This window comes from Homo sapiens, chromosome 7, assembly GCF_000001405.40.
Source record: "Homo sapiens chromosome 7, GRCh38.p14 Primary Assembly".
In the NCBI taxonomy this organism is placed as follows: domain Eukaryota; kingdom Metazoa; phylum Chordata; class Mammalia; order Primates; family Hominidae; genus Homo; species Homo sapiens.
This window is the reverse complement of record NC_000007.14, coordinates 811,467-834,379: the sequence shown is the minus strand read 5'-3', so window position 1 is coordinate 834,379 and position 22,913 is coordinate 811,467. Positions and strand designations below refer to the sequence as shown.

Genomic DNA, 22,913 nt, shown 5'->3' with positions numbered 1-22,913 from the left:
GATCCAGAGCTGGACCTCCCCGAGGCACTCCGGCCATCTCCTGGACAGCCCCTGACCTCTATCCTGCAGCAACCTCAGAGAGCCCCCCACCTTTAAATCCTTTCAGGAGTTCCCAGTGCCCGAGAGTCCAAATTCCCAGCCCAGCCTACACCATCCGGCCAGCCCCTGCCCACCAAGAGTCTAAATTCCCAGCCCAGCCTACACCATCCGGCCAGCCCCTGCCCACCAAGAGTCTAAATTCCCAGCCCAGCCTACACCATCCAGCCAGCCCCTGCCCACCAAGAGTCTAAATTCCCAGCCCAGCCTACAACCACTCCGGCCAGCCCCTGCCCACCTTCCCTCTGCATTTCCCACTCCAGCTGCCACAGAGGTCTGCCCACAGGTCTCACTGAAGGAAGGCTGTGAATTTCAGTGAAATTAAGTGTTGCTCTCCCAAGGTAAAGAAACAGAGGCATTTTAAAAACTCTATTAAAATAGGTCAGAAAAGCAAAAATAAGTGACCACAAATCACTGTTTCATGCTGCACGGTCTGAAGGAAGCAGCAGTCTCCCCTGAGCTGGCCTGCCCGTTCTGTTCTCACCACTACAGGACTCTTAGAAAACAGAGTGTGTTGCTATGGAAGTGTGATGGACCTAGAACTGTGAATTAAAAACTCGATCATCGAATGTGAGCTCTGACTAATGCTGGTAACAAGTATTTTTCTTAAAATATTTTCTAATTTTCTTACAGTTTCCATTACATTTTCACCCTTTAGAGGATAACCCACTGAGACCGGGCACGGTGGCTCACGCCTGGAATCCCAGCACTTTGGGAGGCCGAGGTGGGTGGATCACCTGAGGTCAGGAGCTCGAGATTGGCCTGGTCCACATGGTGAAACCCCATCTCTATTAAAAATACAAAAATTAGCTGGGCGTGGTGGCGCACGTCTGTAATCCCAGCTACTCCAGAGGCTGAGGCAGAAGAACTGCTTGAATCTGGGAGGCGGATGTTGCAGTGAGCCGAGATTGCACCACTGCACTCTAGCCTGGGCGACGGTGAGACTCTGTCTCCAAAAAAACGAAAAAAAAAAAAAAGGATAAGCCACTGAAAAAAATTACACAAGCATTTTCCTGGTGCCTTAAACATCTGCTGGGTGCACAAGTTTTCCAACCTGCTGATCAAATCCGGGCCCGTCTAGCTGTGTACCTTCCCTTGCTGCTGACCCGTAATGTCATCAAACGCAAACTTCGTTTCAGTCGCTCTTTCTACTTGGAAAACTGAAAGCAGAAGGGGCAGGGCAGCGCCTCTTCAGACTCCAATGTCTTGGTTCAGTGGATCGGAATATGAATAAAAGCAGAAAACTCCGCCTCAGACAAAAGTTGTGTTCTCAAAACCCTGAGCTTCAACGCTGTTCTATGATGTTTCCTTTGAAATGGGAAATAATTTTCCAGGTTATTTCTGTTAACTTAAAAATACCAAGCCACTGATACGTTCTCACAAACACCAGGCATCACCACAGAGACATCTTCTCAACATCACAACCACCTGGGTGGGGTCGAAGCCAGCAAGCCATGTGCGATGACTAACCACCCAGTCACCAGGATGAACAGATTCAGTTTACCTTAAAGCCGTAAGAAAAAACCACCTCTAAAGCCATAAGATACAGTTTATTATTTTTTTTCACCTTCAAAATACAGCATGTAGTCGGTAGTACTATGGAGTTCCTGTTAAGGTCCACGCCACCGCGACAGCGAGTGGGCATTGCAAGGCCAGGACCCCACGTGCAGGTGCACACTCACCTGAGCGCATACGTGTAGCCCGTGTTCTCCGGCACACACTGGGGAGGACTGTACATGTGAAGCCGAGAAAAATCCATGTTCACCACTTCAAACCATACTGCAGAGGGCGGGAAAGAAATGCAGAGTGTTTTAACGGGCAGGAAATCGAGCGCATTCCTGTCTCAGTCAACCTGAGCTGCCTACACGCAACTCAACTCAGGTCACCCTCAAAACTCACAGGAAACACGGCCAGCAGCAGTGTTTTCTAAACAGACGAGACAAGTGTTTCCATAGTTACAAGCCCAGGAACACTTCTATCATAATCTAGTCCCCTCATATATCCTGAGAAAAAGACCAGGGGAACCCTAAAGTGGCTGACTCGTGAAACCAGGGGCACCTTCCAAGAAACACGGAGAGAAACTCAGAGCTCTCTTCAAGATGTGTTTTTAAATCCTCACTGTGTCAAAATGTTCTCGGTCTTCTGAAATCAGTTTTTATTTTACTAACTAAAATAGAACTACCTGCTACAGCGTGGTCAAGCAGCAGCGTATGCGTTCCTAGATGGCTGAAGCTCTCACAAGCATCTCAGAATCAGAAAAGAAACTGCAGGGTGAATAACAAAAAAGCTTAAGGCACTATTTACACTTTTTTCCTCACCAAAAAACAGGATATTTTTTAGGTTAGAAAGTGTTGAGTATATTGTTTCTCAGGTTGTCATCTAGATTTATTTGGAATGACTCATACTTTCCTCTGGCTAAAAATACTCACATGCACACACCCTGACTTTCAAAAAGTCCTCGTAGAAGCAATGTGAATCACAGTCGGCTGCTGAAATATCTGAGGGAGATATAACTAAAAGAACCTCCTGGACAAAAGACACTTTTGTACAAATAACTGAGCTCCATAAACCAAGCCAAAAGTACTTTAATTCATGCTACCTTCTTTGAAATAAAGTATCACAGAAATAAAGACCATTGTTTACATATAAAAATTGTACTACACCTACAAGTATCGACAAGCATGATGAAACTCCTGCATTTTAAAACATGTTTCGGCCGGGTGCGGTGGCTCACGCCTGGAATCCCAGCACTTTGGGAGGCCGAGGTGGGCGGATCACGAGGTCAGGAGATCGAGACCATCCTCGCTAACACGGTGAAACCCCGTCTCTACTAAAAATACAAAAATTAGCCAGGCGTGGTGGCGGGCACCTGTAGTCCCAGCTACTCGGGAGGCTGAGGCAGGAGAATGGCATGAACCCGGGAGGCGGAGCTTGCAGTGAGCCGAGATCGTACCACTGTACGCCAGCCTGGGTGACAGAGCGAGATTCCATCTCAAAAAAAAAAAAAAAAGCACGTTTCAAAACTCTTGTTCTTTCCAGGGACACCCAGCCCAGCGTCCGACCCAGACACAGGCTCGGCAAGTCCAGTTCACACTTGCTCGGCATTCCAGGAACTTACGCTTCAACAGCCTTTTGCAAATAAAACTAACTGTGATCACTTAATCCACGTAATAGTTAATACCTGTTTAACTGTCTCTCTCCCACCTGTCTACCTACTTTAACCAACACCTAAATCTAGATTCAACCCACACGCAGAGGAGCCCGGCACAGGACAGGGCCTTGGCCTGGATCCAATGTAGGCTACCCTCCACCTATACACCATGCCTGGGCTCCTGAGGTGCGCAGGCCTGCTCTGGCAGCTTCTGCAGAACCCAGCCCCGCCCAGCAGCAATGCAACAATGGGCTCTGCCTGCACTGCCGAGCAACAACCCAAAGCTGGGCTCAGCGAACGCCCACTCCCGCTATACCCTGGGGGACACTGGGCTAACTCAGTGCTATGGACACCCACTCCCGCTCCCACCCTGGGGGACACTGGGCTAACTCAGTAGTTCTATGGACATCCACTCCTGCTCAGATGTTGGGCTAATTTAGCAATAAGGCCATTAGGGCAGCCAGGCCAGAGAAAAGCAAAGCAAGGAAGATGGGGATGGTAGGGAAAAGAGGTCACACTCCAGGTTCAGCAGGTGCTGAGGAAGTGAGGATGTGGAGTCTGTGATTACAGACCCTTAATCTGTCTTCATCATTCTGATTTCACTTTCATAATCACGTGAATTTTAAGTTTATGTTCCCCAGTAAAATGCATCTATGTACAAAATATGCGGAATCTATCATTTTCTCTATTTCCTAACACTTTGAAACGAGGTAACAGGGTTCCTTACCCACCCTGATGCAGTCCCCGCGTAATGACACCTGTCCAGGATCTAGGGAAATGTCCTGGCCATTATCTCTCAGCCTAGAAAATAACCCCACCCTGACAAGCGCCGAAGCCCAGGCTCATGCCAAGCAGAACCTTGCGAGGCAGCGGCAGCAGAGGCTGTGACAATGTGCCCCAGCGTCCCCAAGGCAGGTGCTCTGCGCTCTCCCACATGGGCCACAGGCCTGCTGCCAGGTGAGAGGCTCCCAGAGCTCCCCAACTCCCCTCCCCACCCTGCAGTCTCATTCACTCCCTCCTTCCTCCTTCCCCCTTAACAGACCACGACACGGATCATTTTAAATTTGGAAATGGAAGATTTTAAATTTCATCCTTAGTCCTTTACGAAATCAAATATTAAATTATAGGATAAAATAAAATGAAGTCAAAAAAGGATTAAATGAAACTGTGTACCTCAGGCAATGCCTGACAGGTGACAAGCACTCAGGCGTCAGCTGCGGTTATTTTGAAGAGTAAAGCGATATGGCCGATGTTTTAAATTTTAAAAAAGAACAGTTATGGCCGGGCTCGGTGGCTCACGCCTATAATCCCAGCACTTTGGGAGGCCGAGGAGGGCAGATCATGAGGTCGAGAGATCGAGACCATCCTGGCTAACACAGTGAAACACCGTCTTTACTAAAAATACAAAAAGTTAGCTGGGCTTGGTGGCGGGCGCCTGTAGTCCCAGGTACTCGGGAGGCTGAGGCAGGAGAATGGCATGAACCTGGGAAGCGGAGCTTGCAGTGAGCCGAGATAGCGCCACTGCACTCCAGCCTGGGCGACAGAGCGAGACTCCATCTCAAAAAAAAAAAACAAAAAAAAAAACCAGTTATTTTTCTTCTGGGTGTGCAATTCCTGAGACAAAAGATTTGTTCACCCTACCCTAAATGAAAGGCAAAGGTCCACCGATGAGCCCTACAGCTAGGACTCAGCCAGCAGGCGGGAGCCCCCAGCCCTTGCACTGCTCGCCGGCACACCTGCAGGCAAAAGCATGGTTCTGAGACCAGCTCTACTGACCGCCAAAGAGTACTCAGCATTTTCACAACACCATTCCCAGTCTCCATTACATCGCTGCTAATTAAAACTGAAATGTAACATTAGAGCCTTCCCATGTGAAGAGGAGGCTGCCTCGGTCACCTGTCTGAGAGACTCAAGGGAGATGTTTTTTGCATTTATAATCTGATCAGTAACCACACAGTAAGTGAAAAACGGATCCAGCATGTTTTCAATGGCATCAGAAAAACCTGGAAAGAATCTGAAGTTGACATTCTGCATAGATGTGCGGTCTGCAGGCGTGATGCTCCTGCTGGCATCTGTGCCTCCCTGGCTGCCCTGCCCTGAGTGTCATGCCTGGCATGGCTTTGGGAGAGTTGTGTTCCACACGAGTGTGTGTCCCTGGCCTGGTGGAAGGAAACGGACTAACTGGTACCCAGCTTTGTGCAGGATGCTGAGAATAGGAGCTGGGCCTCAGAAAGCCCTGGACATGGGTTCTCAGGCTGGCCGGCTCAGCACAGGTGTGCACAGAGGGGACTGTGGGAAGATCCCTGCTGGTCCTCCTACGAGATGGCTTCTGGAGGATGGACGGGTGGAGAGCCATCGACACTAGAGAAGCACACACCTCAGGAGACAGCGGCCAGGGATGCCTGTCACCCAGACAAAGTCTCTCCCTTTTATCTTGTGTTTGCTGGTGGCCAAGAGAGCTTACAAGCTCACAAAAACAGGAAAAGTAGAGGGCTTCTGTTAAGGTTGCAAACTTTGGTTTCAAACCTACGGCTTAGGTTTCTTTACAAATATATACATCCAGCCGGGCATGGTGGCTCACACCTGTAATCCCAGCACTTTGGGAGGCAGAGGCAGGCAGACCACCTGAAGTCAGGAGTTCGAGGCCAGCGGGGCCAACATGGTGAAACCCCGTCTCTACTAAATATATAAAAATTAGCTGGGTGTGGTGGCGGGCGCCTGTAATCCCAGCTACTCAGGAGGCTGAGGCAGGAGAACTGATTGAACCCAGGAGATGGAGGTTGCAGTGAGCCAACACAGCACCACTGCACTCCAGCCTGGGTGACAGAGTGAGACTCTGTCTCAAAAAACAAAACAAAACAAAAACAAAAAACAAAAACAAAAACAAAAACATACATATATATCCTAGCAGGGTTTTAAAATTAGATAAGGCCAGGTGGGGTGGCTCATGCCTGTAATCCCAACACTTTGGGAGGGCGAGGTGGGTGGATCACCTAAGGTCAGGAGTTCGAGACCAGCCTGGGCAACATGGTGAAACCACCCCTCTATTAAAAATACAAAAATCAGCCGGGTGTGGTGGTGCGTGCTTGTAATCCCAGCTACTCGGGAGGCTGAGGCACGAGAATCACTTGAACCAGGAGGCGCAGGTTGCGGTGAGCCCATATTTCAGCGCATTCCAGCCTGTGACAGAGTGAGACTCTGTCTCAAAAAAACAAACGAACAAACAAACAAAAACTACGTAAGTTATACTAGGTTTCTCTTTTAATACCATTTACCTTTTACAGTATATAATTTATATTATATGGTAGACACGAAAATATACAGCTCAGTTTTTTTTCTTGAATGCTTTGGTAAAAAATGGATTTTAGGCCAGGCACGGTGGCTCACGCCTGTAATCCCAGTACTTTGGGAGGCCAAGGTGGGAGGATCACAAGGTCAGGAGATCGAGACCATCCTGTGAATGGTGAAACCCCATCTCTACTAAAAATACAAGAAATTAGCCGGGCGTGGTGGCGGGCACCTGTAGTCCCAGCTACTCGGGAGGCTGAGGCGGGAGAATGGCGTGAACCCGGGAGGTGGAGCTTGCAGTGAGCCGAGATTGCGCCACTGCACCCCAGCCTGGGGGACAGAGCGTGACCCCATCTCAAAAAAAAAAAAAAAAAAAAACGGACTTTAGATTTTAGTCCTACTCTCCATATCACTTGAGTCTACTATTCAGAATATCTGTACTAATCTAGTAATAATCCAGAGAACATGGTTGAAAAATCTTCATACAAGGCTGAAAACAGAACAAAACTAAATGGGTCTGGCCAGGCACAGTGGCTGACACCTATAATCCCAGCACTCTGGGAGGCCAAGGCGGGCAGGAGGATCACTTGAGGTTAGGAGTTTGAGACCAGCCTGGCCAATATGGTGAAACCCCGTCTCTAGCAAAACTACAAAACTTAGCCGGGCGTGGTGGCACGTGCCTGTAGTCCCAACTACTTGGGAGGCTGAGGCATGAGAATTGCTTGAACCCGGGAGGCAGAGGTTGCAGTGAGCTGAGATCTGCCGCTGCACTCCAGCCTGGGTGACAGAGCGAGACTCCATCTCAAAAACAAAAACAAAAAACAAACCTTGAGTGTTCTGAAATAAAATCAACACACCATCTTTTCTCAGGAAATGCTATCAGCTCTAAAGAAAACTGGAAAAGGCAAACTTTAAAACCTGCAGGCAGCACTTCCCTTCAGCCTATAAACAGCAACCGTCAATACCGAGTTGATAATTATTTTCTACGAAACACTCATGAACAATGGGATCTCCTGCAAAGGCACCGTTTACAGACATTAGCACAATGCACAGGCTGCATTTCCTGTGCCCCAGCGTTGGTCACTGACGATGTGGACTAACACTGAGAGGGAGCCCAGTGAGACGCAGCGTTCCCATCAGAAACCGTGGGGAACCTGCCCACACGGATCCCGCAAGCCTTGGTTTAAAATGGCAGCCTACCTCCTGAAACAACAGTCACACCTACGACTCAAACCTGCAAAACTCTGTCAGTCTATCACTGATCCACGGGGGGACACACAGGCCCCTCCTCCCAGAGCGCCATCTGCCACAAGCCCCACGTCCACAGGGACACCCAGAGCTGCAGCCCCCGGCCTCGGCAGGGCCTACCAGCAGTGGACGCCTGCTCCACCCGGCTGGGCAGCGATGTTTCGCCAGATCCTTCCCTCAGGGACCTTCCCGAGAGACACCGAGCGGGGCATGATGAGCACACAGGCGCACACACACAGACACACATGCTCGCTCAATCCTCATCTTCGCTCATCCTTAAGCACCCCAGACCAGGGTTGTCAAACGGCAGCTAGCCTGACATCAGGCAGTTCGTTTCTTTGTTCTTTCTTTCTTATGTATGTATTTTAAGAGACAGGGTCTCATTCTGTCGCCCAGGCTAGAGTGCCAGGGGCGTGATCACAGCTCACTGCAGCCTCCATCTCCTGGGCTCAAGCCTCAGCTTCCCACAGTGCTGGGACCACAGGGGCGCGTCACGGCACCTGGTTAATCTTTTTATTTTCTTAGAGACAGGGTCTCCCTATGTTGCCCAGGCTGGTCTTGAACTCCTGGCCTCAAGCGATTTTCCTCAGCCTCCCAAAGTTCTGGGATTACACGTGTGAGCTACCATGCCCAGCCCGGTTTGTTTCTTAAGTCCACTGTAAATAATTATTTAAAACTAAAATTCTGGAAAAAAAAAAACCAGTACTAAATGTTAACATAATTATCGTCCTTAGATCTTCATATTATTGAAAGTAAATAATGTAGAGACTAATAAAAACATTATTTTTCCTGCAGATTAAAAAATAAAAAGAAACTGTCTTAGAAATAGATGTTTTCCAAAGATCATGCTCATGTAATTACTTCTACAACATAATAAACAAGAATTGGCATTGCATCTCCAATTTCATTTAGAGGAAGAAAAACAACTGTTGGTTTATGAAAACCGGATGATTTACCCTGACTGAGAATCCTTAAAAATGAACTGATTATTCAAAACAACAAATCAGAAATAAATGACTACAACCTAAAAATATTTGAAAGGGCTGTATGCCACATATTTTATACACGCATACACACAAGTGAACACGCTTTTAGTACTTCTCGAAAAATAACACTAGATTTGAGTAAATTCGGGCGGATGGAACTTCTACTTGTCATTTAACCCCTTTCAGGCTGTTTGAAAATTTTTTTAAAGAGCAGGTATTGGTTTTATAATTTTTAAAATTAACATAATAGGCCAAGTGCGGTGGCTCATGCCTGTAATCCCAACACTTTGGGAGGCCGAGATGGGCGGATCACAAGGTCAGGAGATCAAGACCAACCTGACTAACACAGTGAAACCCTGTCTCTACTGAAAATACAAAAACAAAATTAGCCGGGCGCAGTGGCGGGCGCCTGTAGTCCCAGCTACTCGGGAGGCTGAGGCAGGAGAATGGCGTGAACCCGGGAGGTGGAGCTTGCAGTGAGCTGAGATCGTGCCACTGCACTCCAGCCTGGGTGACCGAGCAAGACTCCGCCTAAAAAAAAAAAAAAATTATCGTAATAAATATCACTTTCAAAAAGAAACAAATTTCATCTTCATTTGTGAGGCAGGACAGGCAGACAGTCCTCTGGGGTCCAATTCAAGGTCTCCCACTGCCTTAGCTGTGAGGTGTGGACACGTTCACAGGGGCTAGAAACAGAAGCTGCTCCTCCGAGCACCCCTGGAGCACCCAGCCAGCGGACGCCCCCACCCCGCACCCGCCCTGCTCTGGACTGCCTCCCAGCACACCCCATCAGCAGCAAAGCCATATCGACAGATAGTTCCTAGCCAAGATGCAACGTTTCTTCACTTGTTTTGGAAATGATGAAACAACAGGAAAAGGTAAGCAAGCCCATCTAGCCTGAACATCAAGAAAACAGCTGAGTGTCAAAGAAAACGACGACTTCTACCAGAAGACCGATGATCACGTGCACACATCTCCTTACCATAAGGGCACTGAATCTTTTTAATACAAACCCCACTTCCTCTTACAGAACGGTGGTCATCACAGTGTTTCAGCAAAAGCCCAAGGCCAAATTATTTAGTTTATACATATTACTGCAAAGCGTCTAGGAAGACAAAACTATTAAATAGTTTAAATAGTTTCATTGTATTTGCTTCAAACCTAGAGTGCACAGAATTTCCTTATAACCAGTACGATGGGGACCGCCAACCAAATGTCTCCTGGAGAACTCATCTGCAGCCAGCGGCCCTCAAGCAGGGATGTGCTGCAGCCACACTCAGCATCCTCCTCCTGCAGAGCCCGTGCTGGGTCTGGACCCAGAGGCTCACACAGCTTTCATGTGCATTTCCTTAATTATCAGTGACGTGAAACATCTTTTTGTGTTTCTCAGCCAGGGGTATTTCTCATCCTGTGCGGAGATCTGTCTTCTTCTGTTTTACTGGACCACATACACATAAGGATATGAATCCACTACTACATGGCAGGGATACTCCCGTCCTTAACTTCACCCAGGTGACTTTGGCCACACCATGTCTGGTCTTTCCCTTCCCTCACTCATGTCCCACTTCTTAGAAAGACTTTCCCTAAGCCAAGAACACAAGCATGGTCTGCAACGGACTCTCCTACTCTTACTGTTTTGATGTTTATACTGCAAGCCATTAATAATTCATGTAACCCATCTGTAATTCCAGTTGGTACACAGGCATCGTTTTATTTCCTGTTGGGCATTTCCGCCTGGATGTCAGGCAGGCTCACAGGTCCAAATCACGCCCCAGGCCTGCTCCTCCCTCCCCAGGGCGCGTGCCCCATGCCCCCTCTCCATTCCCGCCCTGACATGCCACCTCTGGCTGGCTCCCTGCAAGTGCCTTGACCGTCTCCCTGGCTCCAGTCTTGCCTCTCAAGCCAATCCTTGAGAAAACCACCTGAATGACCCATCTACAGAGAAATCTGCCTACCTTGTTCGCACAGACTCCCCCCATGGCTGCCTGCACACACGGCACTGGTGCAAATGCTGCTACTTCTCCCTCCTCACTTCCCATCCGTGCCTTAGAATCCACCGTGGCTCCAGGGAACCCTCTCCTCCCCACCCATTTACATGCCGCTCCTCCACTCTTTCCTTGCAATGAATGTCCTCCTGCCTGAGGTGCCCTCCTATTTCCTGATCCCCTTCCGCATCTCCTTGGTCTAGTTACACCCCAAACTCTGCCTAGCTAACTTCTCCTCACACTTAATGTTCAGCAGAGATACCACCACCAGGAAGCCCCCATGGGCCTCATCCTACCCCAGTTACTGTCAATTCTAGCACTCACTGGTGATCAGCAGGAACACAAATCATAATGATTATTTCTCAATGAGTCCTTCTCTCCAAGCGGCCCTTGAACTCTGTGACGGCAGGAACTGTGCCTCATTCACCTTCGGCTCTAATCCTTGCCTGGAGAACAAGTGAACGCTGCACGTGACTGGAAGGGGGCGCTCTCCACGCCACGCACCCTGCTCGCTTTGCCACTAAGCTGACAATCCTCCAGTCTCCACCGCTCTCTACTCCTTACCTGACTACGCTCCGGAAAAATCCTGTACAGGAATTCATGCGTGGCCACAGGGCCACGTGCGTGCGGGAATTCGCGGGTGGCCACAGGGCCGTGTGTGTGTGGGAATTCACGGGTGGCCACAGGGCCGTGTGTGTGTGGGAATTCACGGGTGGCCACAGGGCCGTGTGTGTGCGGGAATTCGCGGGTGGCCACAGGGCTGTGTGTGCTGCGCTTGGGCCTCTCATTCTTCCTCCCGGCATGTTCAGGCCTTCATATGCTTCCTCGTCTAACCGGAACAGGTATGTCAGCTGCTCCATTCCCAACAGTAATTGTCAACAGCAGTCTCACGGTCTTACATGTTCTGGAATACACATCCACACCACGTCCAGATCACCCTTCTAGCGCTCTGTTCTCCCCAGCACCAAGTACCAGGCTCAAGGTGAATACTTTTCAGTTTGTAGCAATAAAATCATCTGTTTTTCATACTGCAGATACAGCTCACATCTTACAATAATATTAAAAATCAAAATAAATAGAATGGCTGAGAACAAAGCGACCAAAGGGCTGCTCTGTGTTCAAACTACACATGCCCGAGGGGTGTCTCCCCACCGTAGGGACCCAGGGAACCCGGCACCTGGATGTGATGACATCCACGCTGCTTGTCTGAGACCTACAGTTTAATTCTGCACAAATGTCAAAAGTGTCTGTCACACAGATGTTACCGCCTAAACTCACAACCTACAGCCATTCACTGTATGCCCCTAAGCGACTAAATGAAAACCAAAGTACCAACAGAACAAGCATGCTTAATTACAGACACAATTTAAACCGTAAAACTGACTAATAAATTACAAGAGATGCTTAATAAAGTAGCAACAATTAGAACATACAATTATATAAACAGTGTATTATAAGAAGCAACATCATTTTCTGTATTTTCATCTGACACTTCCTAGTTTATTTTATCCCAGTGGAAGCAAACTGCTTCAAATGTGATGTAGCAGGCCTGGTCTCCTCTATCTATAAATCAAGTGGGTGAGCAGTCCAAAATAGCAACGAGCTCCACATTTAGGAAGCAAGGGGAAGAAGAAAACGAGGGCAGGCTTTCAATCAATGAAACAACACTGCAACCCTCTGGCAGGGCAACACAAGCACAACCACCCCACCAAATACGCACAGGGAAAGGTGAGGCCGACGACACTGGGCCTACTGCCTAGATAGTCCTGTTTCCAATCTGCCTGATGAACCCCGATGTGGGAACTCCCTTTCCCGCTGTGTTCAGGACCGCTTAACTGGAATCACCAGTGGGCGTTATGACATGCAATTCAACAGCCTCCAGGAGAGGTAATTCCAGGACTCTCACCTCACCCTGAAACGCTGCGGTAAGGGCAAGGGTTGAACGCTGAAGGATGCTTTCATCCCATCACTACTTCTCCCACAAAAAAACACTCCCTGGCATTTACTGTAAGCAGATTTGAATTGGATTTATTTTCAGAATCTGGAGACACTATAAAGCAGACTAGGAGACCATTCGATCATCATAAATTCAGGACCAGGAAACAATGGTTATGACCTGACAACACACCCCATTAAATATCAGCGTTCTTTGAAAACAGGTCACCAGGCCGGGCTCACGCCTATAATCCCAGCACTTTGGGAGGCTGAGGTGGGCGGATCACGAGGTCAAGAGATCAAGATCAGCCTGACCAACATGGTGAAACCTTGTCTCTACTAAAAATACAAAACTTAGCTGGGCGTGGTGGCGTGCACCTGTAGTCCCACCTACTCAGGAGGCTAAGGCCGGAGAATCACTTGAACATGGGAGGCAGAGGTTGCAGTGAGCCGAGATCGCTCCACTGCACTCCAGCCTGGGCGACAGAGCAAGACTCTGTCTCAAAAAAAAAAAAAAAAAAAAAAAAAAAAAGATGTGCTGAATATAGATGTTAGCATCCACTCTCTTCCACATACCCCTTTGAGAAAGGGCTATTTTTTAAAGGCATATTTCATTGAGAACAAAATGAAAGGGAGAAAAGAAAATAGCAATACATTTTGGGGAGCTAGATAGATGAATAAAAACTGACTTAGGCCAGAAGAAGTTGAGTCATAAGCATGCAATGGAGAACATGGAAGAACAATCTAACTTTGATCATGGAACCCCCAGAAGGCTCCAAAAATAGTGGCACTAGTTTACAATTGGAAGTGAGGGTGTAAGATGGAACCAAAATACAGGAGAAACTGAATACTCACAATCTTTTCAAGAAGCAATTAGGCAAAGCCATGTGATCATCTCAATTGGTGCAGAAAAAGCACCTCACAAACTCCAACACCTTTTCATAGTAAAAACACTCAACAAGCCAGGAATGGAAGGGAACTTCCTCACATGATAAAGGGCATCTATGAAAAACTCAGTGAATGTCATATTCAAATTTTTCACCTAAGATGAGCAACAAGACAAGGGCGGCCACTTTCACCACTGCTCTTCAACACTATACTGGAAGTTCTCCCCAGAGCAATCAGTCAAGAGGCATACTAATTGGAAAGGAAGATGTCAAACTATCTTTATTCTCAGATGACATGATCTCATATCTAGAAAATCCTAATGAATCAACAAAAAAACTGCTGTTAGAACTAACAAGCAAACTCAGCAAAGTTTCAGGATACAAGATCAATAAAAAGTCAGTTGCATTTCTACACACTAGCAATGAACAATCTGGAAGTGAAATTGGGAAAACAATTCATTTTACAATAGCACCAGAAAGTATTAAAAACTTAGGAATAAATTTAACCAAGGAAGTGCACCACTTGTACACTGAAAATCACAAAGCATTGTTGAAAGAATTAAAGACAACCTACATAAATGGGAAGACATTCCATGTACATGGATGGAAAGACTGTTAGGTACTGTTAGGATAGCAGTACCCCCACAGTGATGTACAGATTCAATACTATCTCTATCAAAACCCCAATGGTCTTTTTTGCAAATATGGAAAAACTGATCTTTAAATTCATATGGAACTGCAATGGGTCCCAAATAGTAAAAAATCTTCCAGAAGAAAAGCAAAGTTGGAGGACCCCGACTTCCTAGCTTCAAAACTTACTACAAAATAGTATGGCACTGGGAGGCCGAGGTGGGCAGATCATGAGGTCAGGAGTTCAAGGCCAGCCAGCCAACAAGGTGAAACCCTGTCTCTACTAAAAATACAAAAATTAGCTGTGTGTGGTGGCGGGCGCCTGTAATCCCAGCTACTTGGGAGGCTGAGGCGGGAGAAGCGTTTGAACCTGGGAGGCGGAGGTTGCAGTGAGCCGAGATCACGCCACTGCACTCCAGCCTGGGCGACAGGGCAAGATTCCATCTCAAAAAAAAAAAAAAAAAGGGTGGCATTGGCATAAAAACATACAGACCTGCAGAACAGAACTGGGTCCAAAAATAAACCCACACATCTAATCAATTGATTTTGACAAGGGTGCCAAGACCACTCAATAGGGAAAAAGCAGTCTTGTCACAAATGATGCTTGAACAAAATCCACGTGCAAAAGAACGAAGTCAGAACCTACCACACATCATACACAAGAATGAACTCAAAATGGATCAAAAACCTAAATACAAGAGCTAAAATGATAAACTCTTAAAGGAAAACACAGGACAAATCCTCCTGACCTTGGATTTTGCAGAGTTCTTAGGTATGACATCAAAAGCATGAGCAACAAAAGAAAAAACAGAAAAATTAGAGTTAATCAATTTAGAGTTCATCAATTTGTGCATCAAAGGACACCAACAAGAGAGTGAAGAGACAATCCAAAGACTGGGAGAAAGTATTTATTAATCATATGTCTAATGAGGGTCTAGTATACAGAATAAAGAATTCTGACAACTCAAAAAAAAAAAAAAAGAGGCAACCCAATTTAAAAACGGAGAAAGAGGCCAGGCACGGTGGCTCACACCTGTCATCCCAGCACTTTGGGAGGGCGAGGCGGGCAGATCACCTGAGGTCGGGAGTTTGAGACCAGCCTGACCAACATGGAGAAACCCCATCTCTACTAAAAATACAAAATTAGCCGGGTGTGGTGGCAGGCACCTGTAATCCCAGCTATTCGGGAGGCTGAGGCAGGAGAATCGCTTGAGCCCGGGAGGCGGAGGTCGCGGTGAGCTGAGTTCCTGTCATTGCACTCCAGCCTGGGCGACAGAGCGAAACTCCGTCTCAAAAAAAAAAAGGGGGGGAGGGGAGCGGGGAAGGACCTGAATGAGAATTTCTCCAAAAATACACAACGGCCAACATGAACATGAAACAATTCTCAACTTCACTGGTCATCAGGGACATGCAAATCACAGCCAAATGAGACGCCACTTCAGACCCACTAGCATGGTCATCCTTTTTGGAAACTAAGTGTTGGGGGGATGTGGAGAAAGTGAACTCACTTGTTGCCAATGGACATGTAAAATGGTGCGGACACTGTGAAAAACAGTTTGGCAGTTCCTCAAAAAGCTAAACACAGAGTTACCATATGACCTGGCAACTCCATTCCTTGGTATATAACCAAAGAATTGAAAACAGATGCTCAAACAAAAACTCATCCACAAATGTTCATAGTAGCTGCATTACTCACACTAGCCAACAGGTGCAAACAGCCCAAGTGTCCATCAACAGACTAAAGGATAAACATAATGTGGTATATCTATACAATGGACAATTATTCAGTCATAAAAAGGAATGGAATACTGATACAGTCTACAACATGCGTGAACTCTGAAGACATTATCTTAAGTGAAAGAGGCCAGACACAAGCGGCTGCATATTGTATGATTCCATTTACATGAAATGTCCAGAACAGCCCAATTCAGAGAGACAGAAAGCAGATTAGCCGTTGCCGGGGCCTGGGGAGACGGAAGAATGGGCAGTGGCTGCTTAACAGGTATAGGGTTTCCATCTGGGATGATGAAAAAGTTATGTAACTAGGTGGTGATGTTGTTTTACGTTACGTGTATTTTAGCACAATCAAAAACAAAAAGCAGGTGAATGAGAGGATACTCCATTTATGAAGTAAGAACATATTACAAATTTTAAAGGAGGAAAAAAAAACAGCTCTGGGAAATTTAAAATACCATGGCCAAACTAAAATGCTAAATAGATATACTGGAAGAAAAAGAGGAAATCTAGAAAGTAGAACAAACATTAAATGGGAGAAAGACAAGAAAATTATAAAGCCAGCCCAAGCCTTCCAGCCCAAACAGTAGTATTTCCAGAACAGTCAGAAAAAAAGGGTAAACAAAGAAAAGGAAATTATTAGAGAAATAATTTGAGAAAACTAAAGGCTTCAAAAAACTATCAAGTGTCCAACAACAGATGAGATAAACCAAAACACACGGTGTTTCTCCACAGTGGAGATGTAGGGAGTAAAAACAGATTACACACAAAAGCCTTCATACAAAGCTTTAGCAATTAGAGCCGCAAGCACTTCATGGGCAATACTATGACTGAAGCTTAGAAGACACAATTATGGGCAGCTTCCCACCCGGAATCAGAGCCAGACGCAGCAACCACAAGCTGCAAAGCGAGAGCAGAGACCTCGGACCGCACCGCCCACCTGTCCTGGGGAGCCCTGGGGAGCCGGGAGAAATCCTCCCCATGACGGTGACAGTGGCAAGGTGTTCCCCGCCGCTGCTTATTTTGCACCAGACACCATTCTGGGCACTTTGAAGGCGCAACAGGGCGCGGAGACCACGCGCGCGCCTCCAGGCAGGCTGGGGCGAGGGGATCGCTTGAGCCTAGGAGTCCGACCTGGGCAGCATGGAGAGACCACAACCCTACAAAAAATACGACTATCAGCCGGGCGCGGTGGCTCACGCCTGTGATCCGAGCGCTTCGGGAGGCGGAGGCGGGAGGATAGCTCGCGCTCAGGAGGTCGAGACCAGCCTGGGAAACACAGCGAGACCCCCCCTCTTAAATAAAACCGTCTTCCCACCACCCCACCCACGGCCCCGCCGCTACTTCCAGGGGCTGGGACCCCGCAACGGGGTCCAGGCGGGCAGCCCGGGCCGAGGCCTGAGAACGCGGGGAGGACGCTCCTCCACGCCCAGCCCGGGCCGCCCGCCGCGGCCTCCCGCGCCTCTCCCCGCTCCGCCCCCGACCCCGCGCCACGAGCCGGCTGGCGACACCCCGGGGAGGAGCAGGACCCCTGCGCCACGACCGCCAGGGTCTCCGGGCGTCTTCACCTGCGCGGGCCGGGGTAGCTGCGGGGCGCGGGACGGGCGGGGGCGGCAGCCGTTGGCCCAGGAGGCCCTGGCGCAGCCCGCGCTGAGGGCGCCCAGGCCGCGACCCCGCGTCCCCCCGGCCCCCGGGCCCCCGCCTCGCGTCCCCGCAGCCCGGCGCCCGCCCCGGGGTGCCCTTGGCCCGGCCCGCCGGGAGCTCACCTGCCTCGCGCCGCCGCCTCAGGCCTCGTCTGCGCCGCCCAGGCCCGAGAAGACGCTCTGCCCACGCCAGCCAATCGCGGGCCGCGCCCCGGGCCGAGGGCGGGAGCAACGCAGGCCTTCACCAGTCCCGAGCGCGCCACCCGAAGCGTTCTGGCCAATGACGAGGCGGCTACGGGCCGCGGGCGGAGGGGCGAGGAGGACTCCAGGCGGGGGAAGGGGAGGGGGAGAGGGAGGGAGGGGGAGGGGCCTGGATGCGTCACGGGGTGGGACGGGCGAGGCCACGTCCCGGTATGGGGGCTGCACCTGGAGGAGGGGGACTGCATTCGGGGGAAAGGCCTGCATCTGAGGGAGGGCTCCGCATTTAGGGGAGGGGTCTGCACCTGCTGGGGGGGGTTTGCATCTGGGGGAGGGGCCCGCATCTGGGGGAGGGATCTGCACCTGGGGGAGGGGTCTGCACCTGGGGGAGGGGTCTGCACCTGGGGGAGGGGTCTGCATCGCGGAGGGCTCTGCCCCTCAGATACGCGGTCTACGTTGGGGAGGGGTCTGCATCTGGGGGAAGGGTCTGCATCTTCGGAAAGGTGTGTGCATCTGGGGGAGGGCGTCCGCATCTTGGGGAGAGGTTTGGATCCGGGGGAGGGGTCTGCATCTCCATGAGAGGGTCTGAATCTCCAGGAGGGCGTCCGCGTCTTGGGGGAGGGGCAGCTGCGGCTCCGGGAGGCAGCCCCCACTTCCGACGGGGCTCACCTCGGCCAGTGCCTCCTTGGCCTTCCGCACGTCTCCCATTGCTGGCCGCCGCCCCCACCCCAATTCCCCGCCGCTCCGGGCGTGCGCAGGCGCTCGCAGGCCGGGCTCCTCCCGCGGCCCCTCCTCCCCAGGCGCCCTTCTGGGGAATGTGTGGGGTCTGCACGCGAGGTCTCCTGCAGGGCCCCTGCTGATGGAAACGCCGGCTCTTCCCGCGTGGAATTCGCAGGTTCTCTTCTCCGTGCTGGGGACTGCACCGCGTCTTGCAAATACTGATTTGTTCTTTGCACTTTTAAAACGAAGTGTAATTTACATACAATCATGTTCACCTTTTTTGCTCTTTTGTTTTTTTTTTGAGACAAGGTCTCCCTCCCGTTGTCCAGGCTGGAGTGCAGTGGCGCAGTCATAGCTCACTGTAACCTCAACCTCCCCGGCCCAGGTGATCCTCCCACCTCAGACTCCCGAGTAGCTGGGACTACAGGCGCGCCTGGCTTTTTTTTTTTTTTTTTTTTGAAACGGAGTCTCTCACCATCGCCTGGGCTGGAGTGCATTTGCGCGATCTCGGCTCATTGCAACTTCTGCCTGCCGGGTTCAAGCGATTCTCCTGCCTCAGTCTCCCCAGTAGCTGGGATTACAGGTACCTGCCACCACCCCCAGCTAATTTTTTGTATTTTTAGTAGAGACAGGGTTACACCATGTTGGCCAGACTGGTCTTGAACTCCTGATCTCGTGATTCGCCTGCCTCGGGCTCCCAAAGTGCTGGGATTACAGGTGTGAGCCACCGCACCCGGCCTTTTTTTGGTATATTTTTGTAAACATGGGGGTCTCACTATGTTGTCCAGGCTGGTCTTGAACTCCTGACCTCAAGTGATCCTCCCACCTTAGCCCCCCAAAGTGCTGGGATAACAGGCATGAGCCACCGCACCCGGCCAATAAGGCCTTTATTTATTTACTTATTTTTGAGACAATTTCGCTCTTGTTATCCAGGCTGGAGTACAATGGCACGATCTCGGCTCACTGCAACCTCCACCTCCCGGGTTCAAGCAATTCTTGTGCCTCAGCCTCCTGAGTAGCTGGGATTACAGGTGCCCACCACCACATCCGGATAATTTTTGTATTTTTAGTAGAGACGGGGTTTCACCATGTTGGCCAGGCTGGTCTGGAACTCCTGTTTTTTTCCTTTTTGTTTTGCTTTTTGTTGTTGTTGTTTAGAGACAGGGTCTCGCTCTGTCATCCAGGCTGGAGTGATCACGCAGTGGTATGATCATAGCGCACTGCAGCCTCGCCGTCCCATGTTCAAGCCATTCTCCCACGTCAGCCTCCTGAGTCGCTGAGACTACAGGCAGACACCACCATGTCTGGCTAATTTTAAATCTTTTTGTACAGATGGAGTCTCACTATATTGCCCAGGCTGGTCTTTTTTTTTTTTTTTTTTTTTTTTTTTTTGAGACAGTCTCTCTGTCGCCCAGGCTGGAGTGCAGTGGCGCTATCTCGGCTCAGTGCAAGCTCTGCCCCCCGGGGGTTCACGCCATTCTCCTGCCTCAGCCTCCCAAGTAGCTGGGACTACAGGCGCCTGCCACCTCGCCTGGCTAATTTTTTGTATTTTTAGTAGAGACGGGGTTTCACCGTGTTAGCCAGGATGGTCTCGATCTCCTGACCTCGTGATCCGCCCGCCTCGGCCTCCCAAAGTGCTGGGATTACAGGCGTGAGCCACCGCGCCCGGCTTCCCAGGCTGGTCTTGAGCTCTTGGTCTGAAACGATCCTCTGCCTCAGCGTCCCCCCGCACCCTCTACCACATCTGACTACTTTTTTTTTTTTTAAACCAAGCATTAACTCTGATGGACCTTACATTGCTGCTAAAAGCCTGCATTAGATCTCCTTTTTAAACAGACACATCTGTTTGGGGGAAAGATTTTGGCAGATGGCCGTGCCAGAACCCACCGCCTGGGTCTGTCACTAGAGAAGATGGACATTCAAATACTAGGATCGTGCCCCCAAAAAGGCTGGCCTCCACCCTGCCCACCCTGGGGCCAGTACGGCCTCCCCGTAAGGCCCCGGTCCGTGGAGTGGGTTAAGGGAGGAACAAGAACAAGCAGGTAGGAGAGTCTGGGGGGCTTCTGTGTCTCCCGAAACACAGCTTGGGTCTGTTTTCTTTGGCCTGGCCAACTGTCCTCATTTCAGAAGAGGACATTGGACAACAGGCTGGGCTTCAGTTCCTAAGGCTTTTCCCATCTTCCCAGCACTGCAGAGCAGGACGGAGCAGGTAGTGCAGCCACTGACATTTCAAAGCAAGGGAAACGGAGGCAGGGGCCAGGCCGGCAGCCTGGCTGGAGTGAGACCGGACGCAGCGACCCCGTAGGCAGGCTCGCTGTCTTCAAGGCCACCATCTCTGCTGCAGAACGGAGGGCAGCAGCGGCCCGTTTTGCAAAGCTCCCGGGGGAGCACAGTGCTTTTTTCTCGGTGAGCTCACACCTCAAATTTGGCAGCAGGCGTGCCTTTCAGCGGTAAACAGAAACCGGCTCCTGGGAGACGAGTCAGAAACCCGAGCCCGGAGGCTTCGTGCCATCTGGATGAGGTGGCTACGCAATGGCCAGGGAGAGAGTCGGACGAAGGAAAATTACCCAGCCGACCTCCTGGAGGCTCAGGAAATCCGTATCTCTCTCTCTTTTTTTTTTTTTTTTTTGAGACAGAGTTTTGCTCTTGTCGCCCAGGCTGGAGTGCAGTGGTGCGATCTTGGCTCACTGCAACCTCCACCTCCCGTAAATCCCTTTCTCTTAAGGAAACAATTTGGCTTCTCCACCAGCTGCTTCCCCATCCTGCCTGCTTCTGGTTCCTTCTTTGGGCGGGAAGCATCCGCAGAGGAAATGGTTTTTGGTGGGTGGTTGTCCCCTGCGGTGAGTGAGGGCGGCCCCTGCTGTGGTTTCAGTGTGTGAGACTGTGGGGAGTGGTGAAAGGAACTTGCCGGAGAGCTGTAACAGATTTCAGGCAGATTTCCCAATACACAGAATCCAAAATCCATGCACAGACACTCCCAGTATTGACAGAGTTTGAACTCAGCCAGATTTCCCAATACACAGAATCCAAAATCCATACACAGATGCTCCCAGCATTGACAGAGGGTTTGAACTCACTGTAGACTGCAGACATGCATGCTGGGCCCTGAAGAGCGTTTCATTTACTTATGTATGTATTTATTTGCTTGCTTAGTTTTGAGAGAGAGCCTTGCTCTGTCACCCAGGCTGGAATGCAGTGGCACAGTCACGGCTCATGGTAACCTCAAACTCCTGGACTCAAGTGATTCTCTTGCCTCAGCCTCTCGAGTAGCTGGGACTACAGGTACCCACCACCATGCCCAGCTAATTTTATTAACTTTTTGTAGAGATAGGGTCTTGCCATGTTGCCCAGTCTGGTCTGAAACTCCTAGGCTGAAGCGATCCTCCCCCCTTGGCCTCCCAAAGTGCTGGGATGACAGGTGTGAGCCACCTCACCTGGCCTTCTTTTTTTTTTTTTTTTTTTTTTTTTTTTGAGACGGAGTCTCGCTCTGTCACCAGGCTGGAGTGGAGTGGTGCGATCTCGGCTCACTGCAACCTCCACCTCCCAGGTTCAAGCAGTTCCCTGCCTCAGCCTCCCAAGTAGCTGGGATTTGTGGGGAGAATGGTGGGGGATGAGAGGGTACAGGATTGGGGAGGACGTTAGGGGACAGGAGGGTGCAGCCTGGCCACAGAGCCATTGCTGGGCTTTAGTGAGGGCTTTAGTGAGTCGCGGCGACAGCGGCCTTGGTGGGAGTTATTTTGGCAGGATGGTAAGGATGGGTTCTGGAGAGAACAGAGGAGGCAGGTAGAGCGAGGCAGGACAGACAGGTCTTTCAAGAGAAACGAGGAAGCAGGGACAGGGATATTTGGGTGGCACCTTGTTCTGTTTTGTTTTAGGATGCCTGCTCTTTTACCTAGCTGATCCCTGGGGTTTAGGTCATCTCTCGGCAGGTCTGTTAAACAGCAGCAGGATGCATAGCGGCCCCCAGATGTGTCCACCTGCAGCCTCAGAATGCAATCTTATTTGGAATAAGGGTCTTTGCAGATATAATTAAGGTAAAGATCTAGAGATGCGACCATCCTGGCTTAGGGTGGGCCCTGAATCCAATATGTATCCTTATAAAAGGAGGCAGCTGGGCGCGGTGGCTCACGACTGTAATCCCAGCACTTTGGGAGGCCGAGGCAGTTGGATCACGTGGTCAGGAGATCGAGACCATCCTGGCCAACATGGTGAAACCCGTCTCTACTACAATACAAAAAATTAGCCGGGCATGGTGGTATGCGCCTGTATTCCCAACTACTCAGGAGGCTGAGGCAAGAGAATCACTTGAACCCGGGAGGCAGAGGTTGCAGTGAGCCGAGATCGCACCACTGCACTCCAGCCTGGGCAATAGTGAGAGACTCCTCTGTCTCCAAAAAAAAAAAAAATTATCC

General features: G+C 49.9%; 1 protein-coding gene across 74 annotated transcripts in view, besides 9 other annotated features; it reads right to left on the bottom strand.

Annotated features, from left to right (window-relative positions):
- Window positions 1–18,823, bottom strand: part of SUN1 (Sad1 and UNC84 domain containing 1) — a 59,378-nt gene extending 40,555 nt beyond the window's left edge. For 40 of the 74 annotated variants that reach the window (NR_160282.1, NR_160283.1, NR_160281.1 and 37 more), the window contains exons 1-2: window positions 17,707–17,737; window positions 1,779–1,875 (exon numbers count right to left, since the gene is read on the bottom strand). Coding sequence is in view for 41 of the 74 variants with exons in the window: in NM_001367669.1 (NP_001354598.1) it covers window positions 1,779–1,855 (77 nt within the window). In the remaining 33 variants the exon portion in view is untranslated. Of the gene's footprint in view, window positions 1–1,778; window positions 1,905–11,318; window positions 11,659–16,880; window positions 17,101–17,706; window positions 17,738–18,776 lie in introns of those variants that run through there. The other 34 variants (NM_001367666.1, NM_001367655.1, NM_001367691.1 and 31 more) reach the window with 6 other exon arrangements.
- Window positions 1,152–2,351: an enhancer, noted in NCBI's record as "P300/CBP strongly-dependent group 1 enhancer chr7:871666-872865 (GRCh37/hg19 assembly coordinates)". NCBI's record gives its function as "activates an origin of replication core promoter dependent on BRD2, BRD4, P300/CBP, MED14 and CDK7 cofactors, with strong dependence on P300/CBP, by STARR-seq in HCT116 cells {active_cell/tissue: HCT116}" and the evidence as "EXISTENCE:reporter gene assay evidence [ECO:0000049][PMID:35650434]".
- Window positions 2,372–2,471: an enhancer, noted in NCBI's record as "active region_25474". NCBI's record gives its function as "activates an Ori minimal core promoter by ATAC-STARR-seq in GM12878 lymphoblastoid cells {active_cell/tissue: GM12878}" and the evidence as "EXISTENCE:reporter gene assay evidence [ECO:0000049][PMID:35858748]".
- Window positions 3,291–4,186: an enhancer, noted in NCBI's record as "H3K27ac-H3K4me1 hESC enhancer chr7:869831-870726 (GRCh37/hg19 assembly coordinates)". NCBI's record gives its function as "activates a minimal SCP1, AML or CMV promoter by ChIP-STARR-seq in naive H9 embryonic stem cells {active_cell/tissue: H9 hESC(naive)}" and the evidence as "EXISTENCE:reporter gene assay evidence [ECO:0000049][PMID:30033119]".
- Window positions 15,754–16,048: a silencer, noted in NCBI's record as "tiled region #7003; HepG2 Repressive non-DNase unmatched - State 4:PromP". NCBI's record gives its function as "represses a minimal TATA promoter and a strong SV40 promoter by Sharpr-MPRA in HepG2 cells {active_cell/tissue: HepG2}" and the evidence as "EXISTENCE:reporter gene assay evidence [ECO:0000049][PMID:27701403]".
- Window positions 17,282–17,391: a silencer, noted in NCBI's record as "silent region_17821". NCBI's record gives its function as "represses an Ori minimal core promoter by ATAC-STARR-seq in GM12878 lymphoblastoid cells {active_cell/tissue: GM12878}" and the evidence as "EXISTENCE:reporter gene assay evidence [ECO:0000049][PMID:35858748]".
- Window positions 17,622–18,051: a silencer, noted in NCBI's record as "silent region_17820". NCBI's record gives its function as "represses an Ori minimal core promoter by ATAC-STARR-seq in GM12878 lymphoblastoid cells {active_cell/tissue: GM12878}" and the evidence as "EXISTENCE:reporter gene assay evidence [ECO:0000049][PMID:35858748]".
- Window positions 18,003–18,744: an enhancer, noted in NCBI's record as "H3K27ac-H3K4me1 hESC enhancer chr7:855273-856014 (GRCh37/hg19 assembly coordinates)". NCBI's record gives its function as "activates a minimal SCP1, AML or CMV promoter by ChIP-STARR-seq in naive H9 embryonic stem cells {active_cell/tissue: H9 hESC(naive)}" and the evidence as "EXISTENCE:reporter gene assay evidence [ECO:0000049][PMID:30033119]".
- Window positions 20,183–20,746: an enhancer, noted in NCBI's record as "H3K27ac-H3K4me1 hESC enhancer chr7:853271-853834 (GRCh37/hg19 assembly coordinates)". NCBI's record gives its function as "activates a minimal SCP1, AML or CMV promoter by ChIP-STARR-seq in naive H9 embryonic stem cells {active_cell/tissue: H9 hESC(naive)}" and the evidence as "EXISTENCE:reporter gene assay evidence [ECO:0000049][PMID:30033119]".
- Window positions 20,747–21,311: an enhancer, noted in NCBI's record as "H3K27ac-H3K4me1 hESC enhancer chr7:852706-853270 (GRCh37/hg19 assembly coordinates)". NCBI's record gives its function as "activates a minimal SCP1, AML or CMV promoter by ChIP-STARR-seq in naive H9 embryonic stem cells {active_cell/tissue: H9 hESC(naive)}" and the evidence as "EXISTENCE:reporter gene assay evidence [ECO:0000049][PMID:30033119]".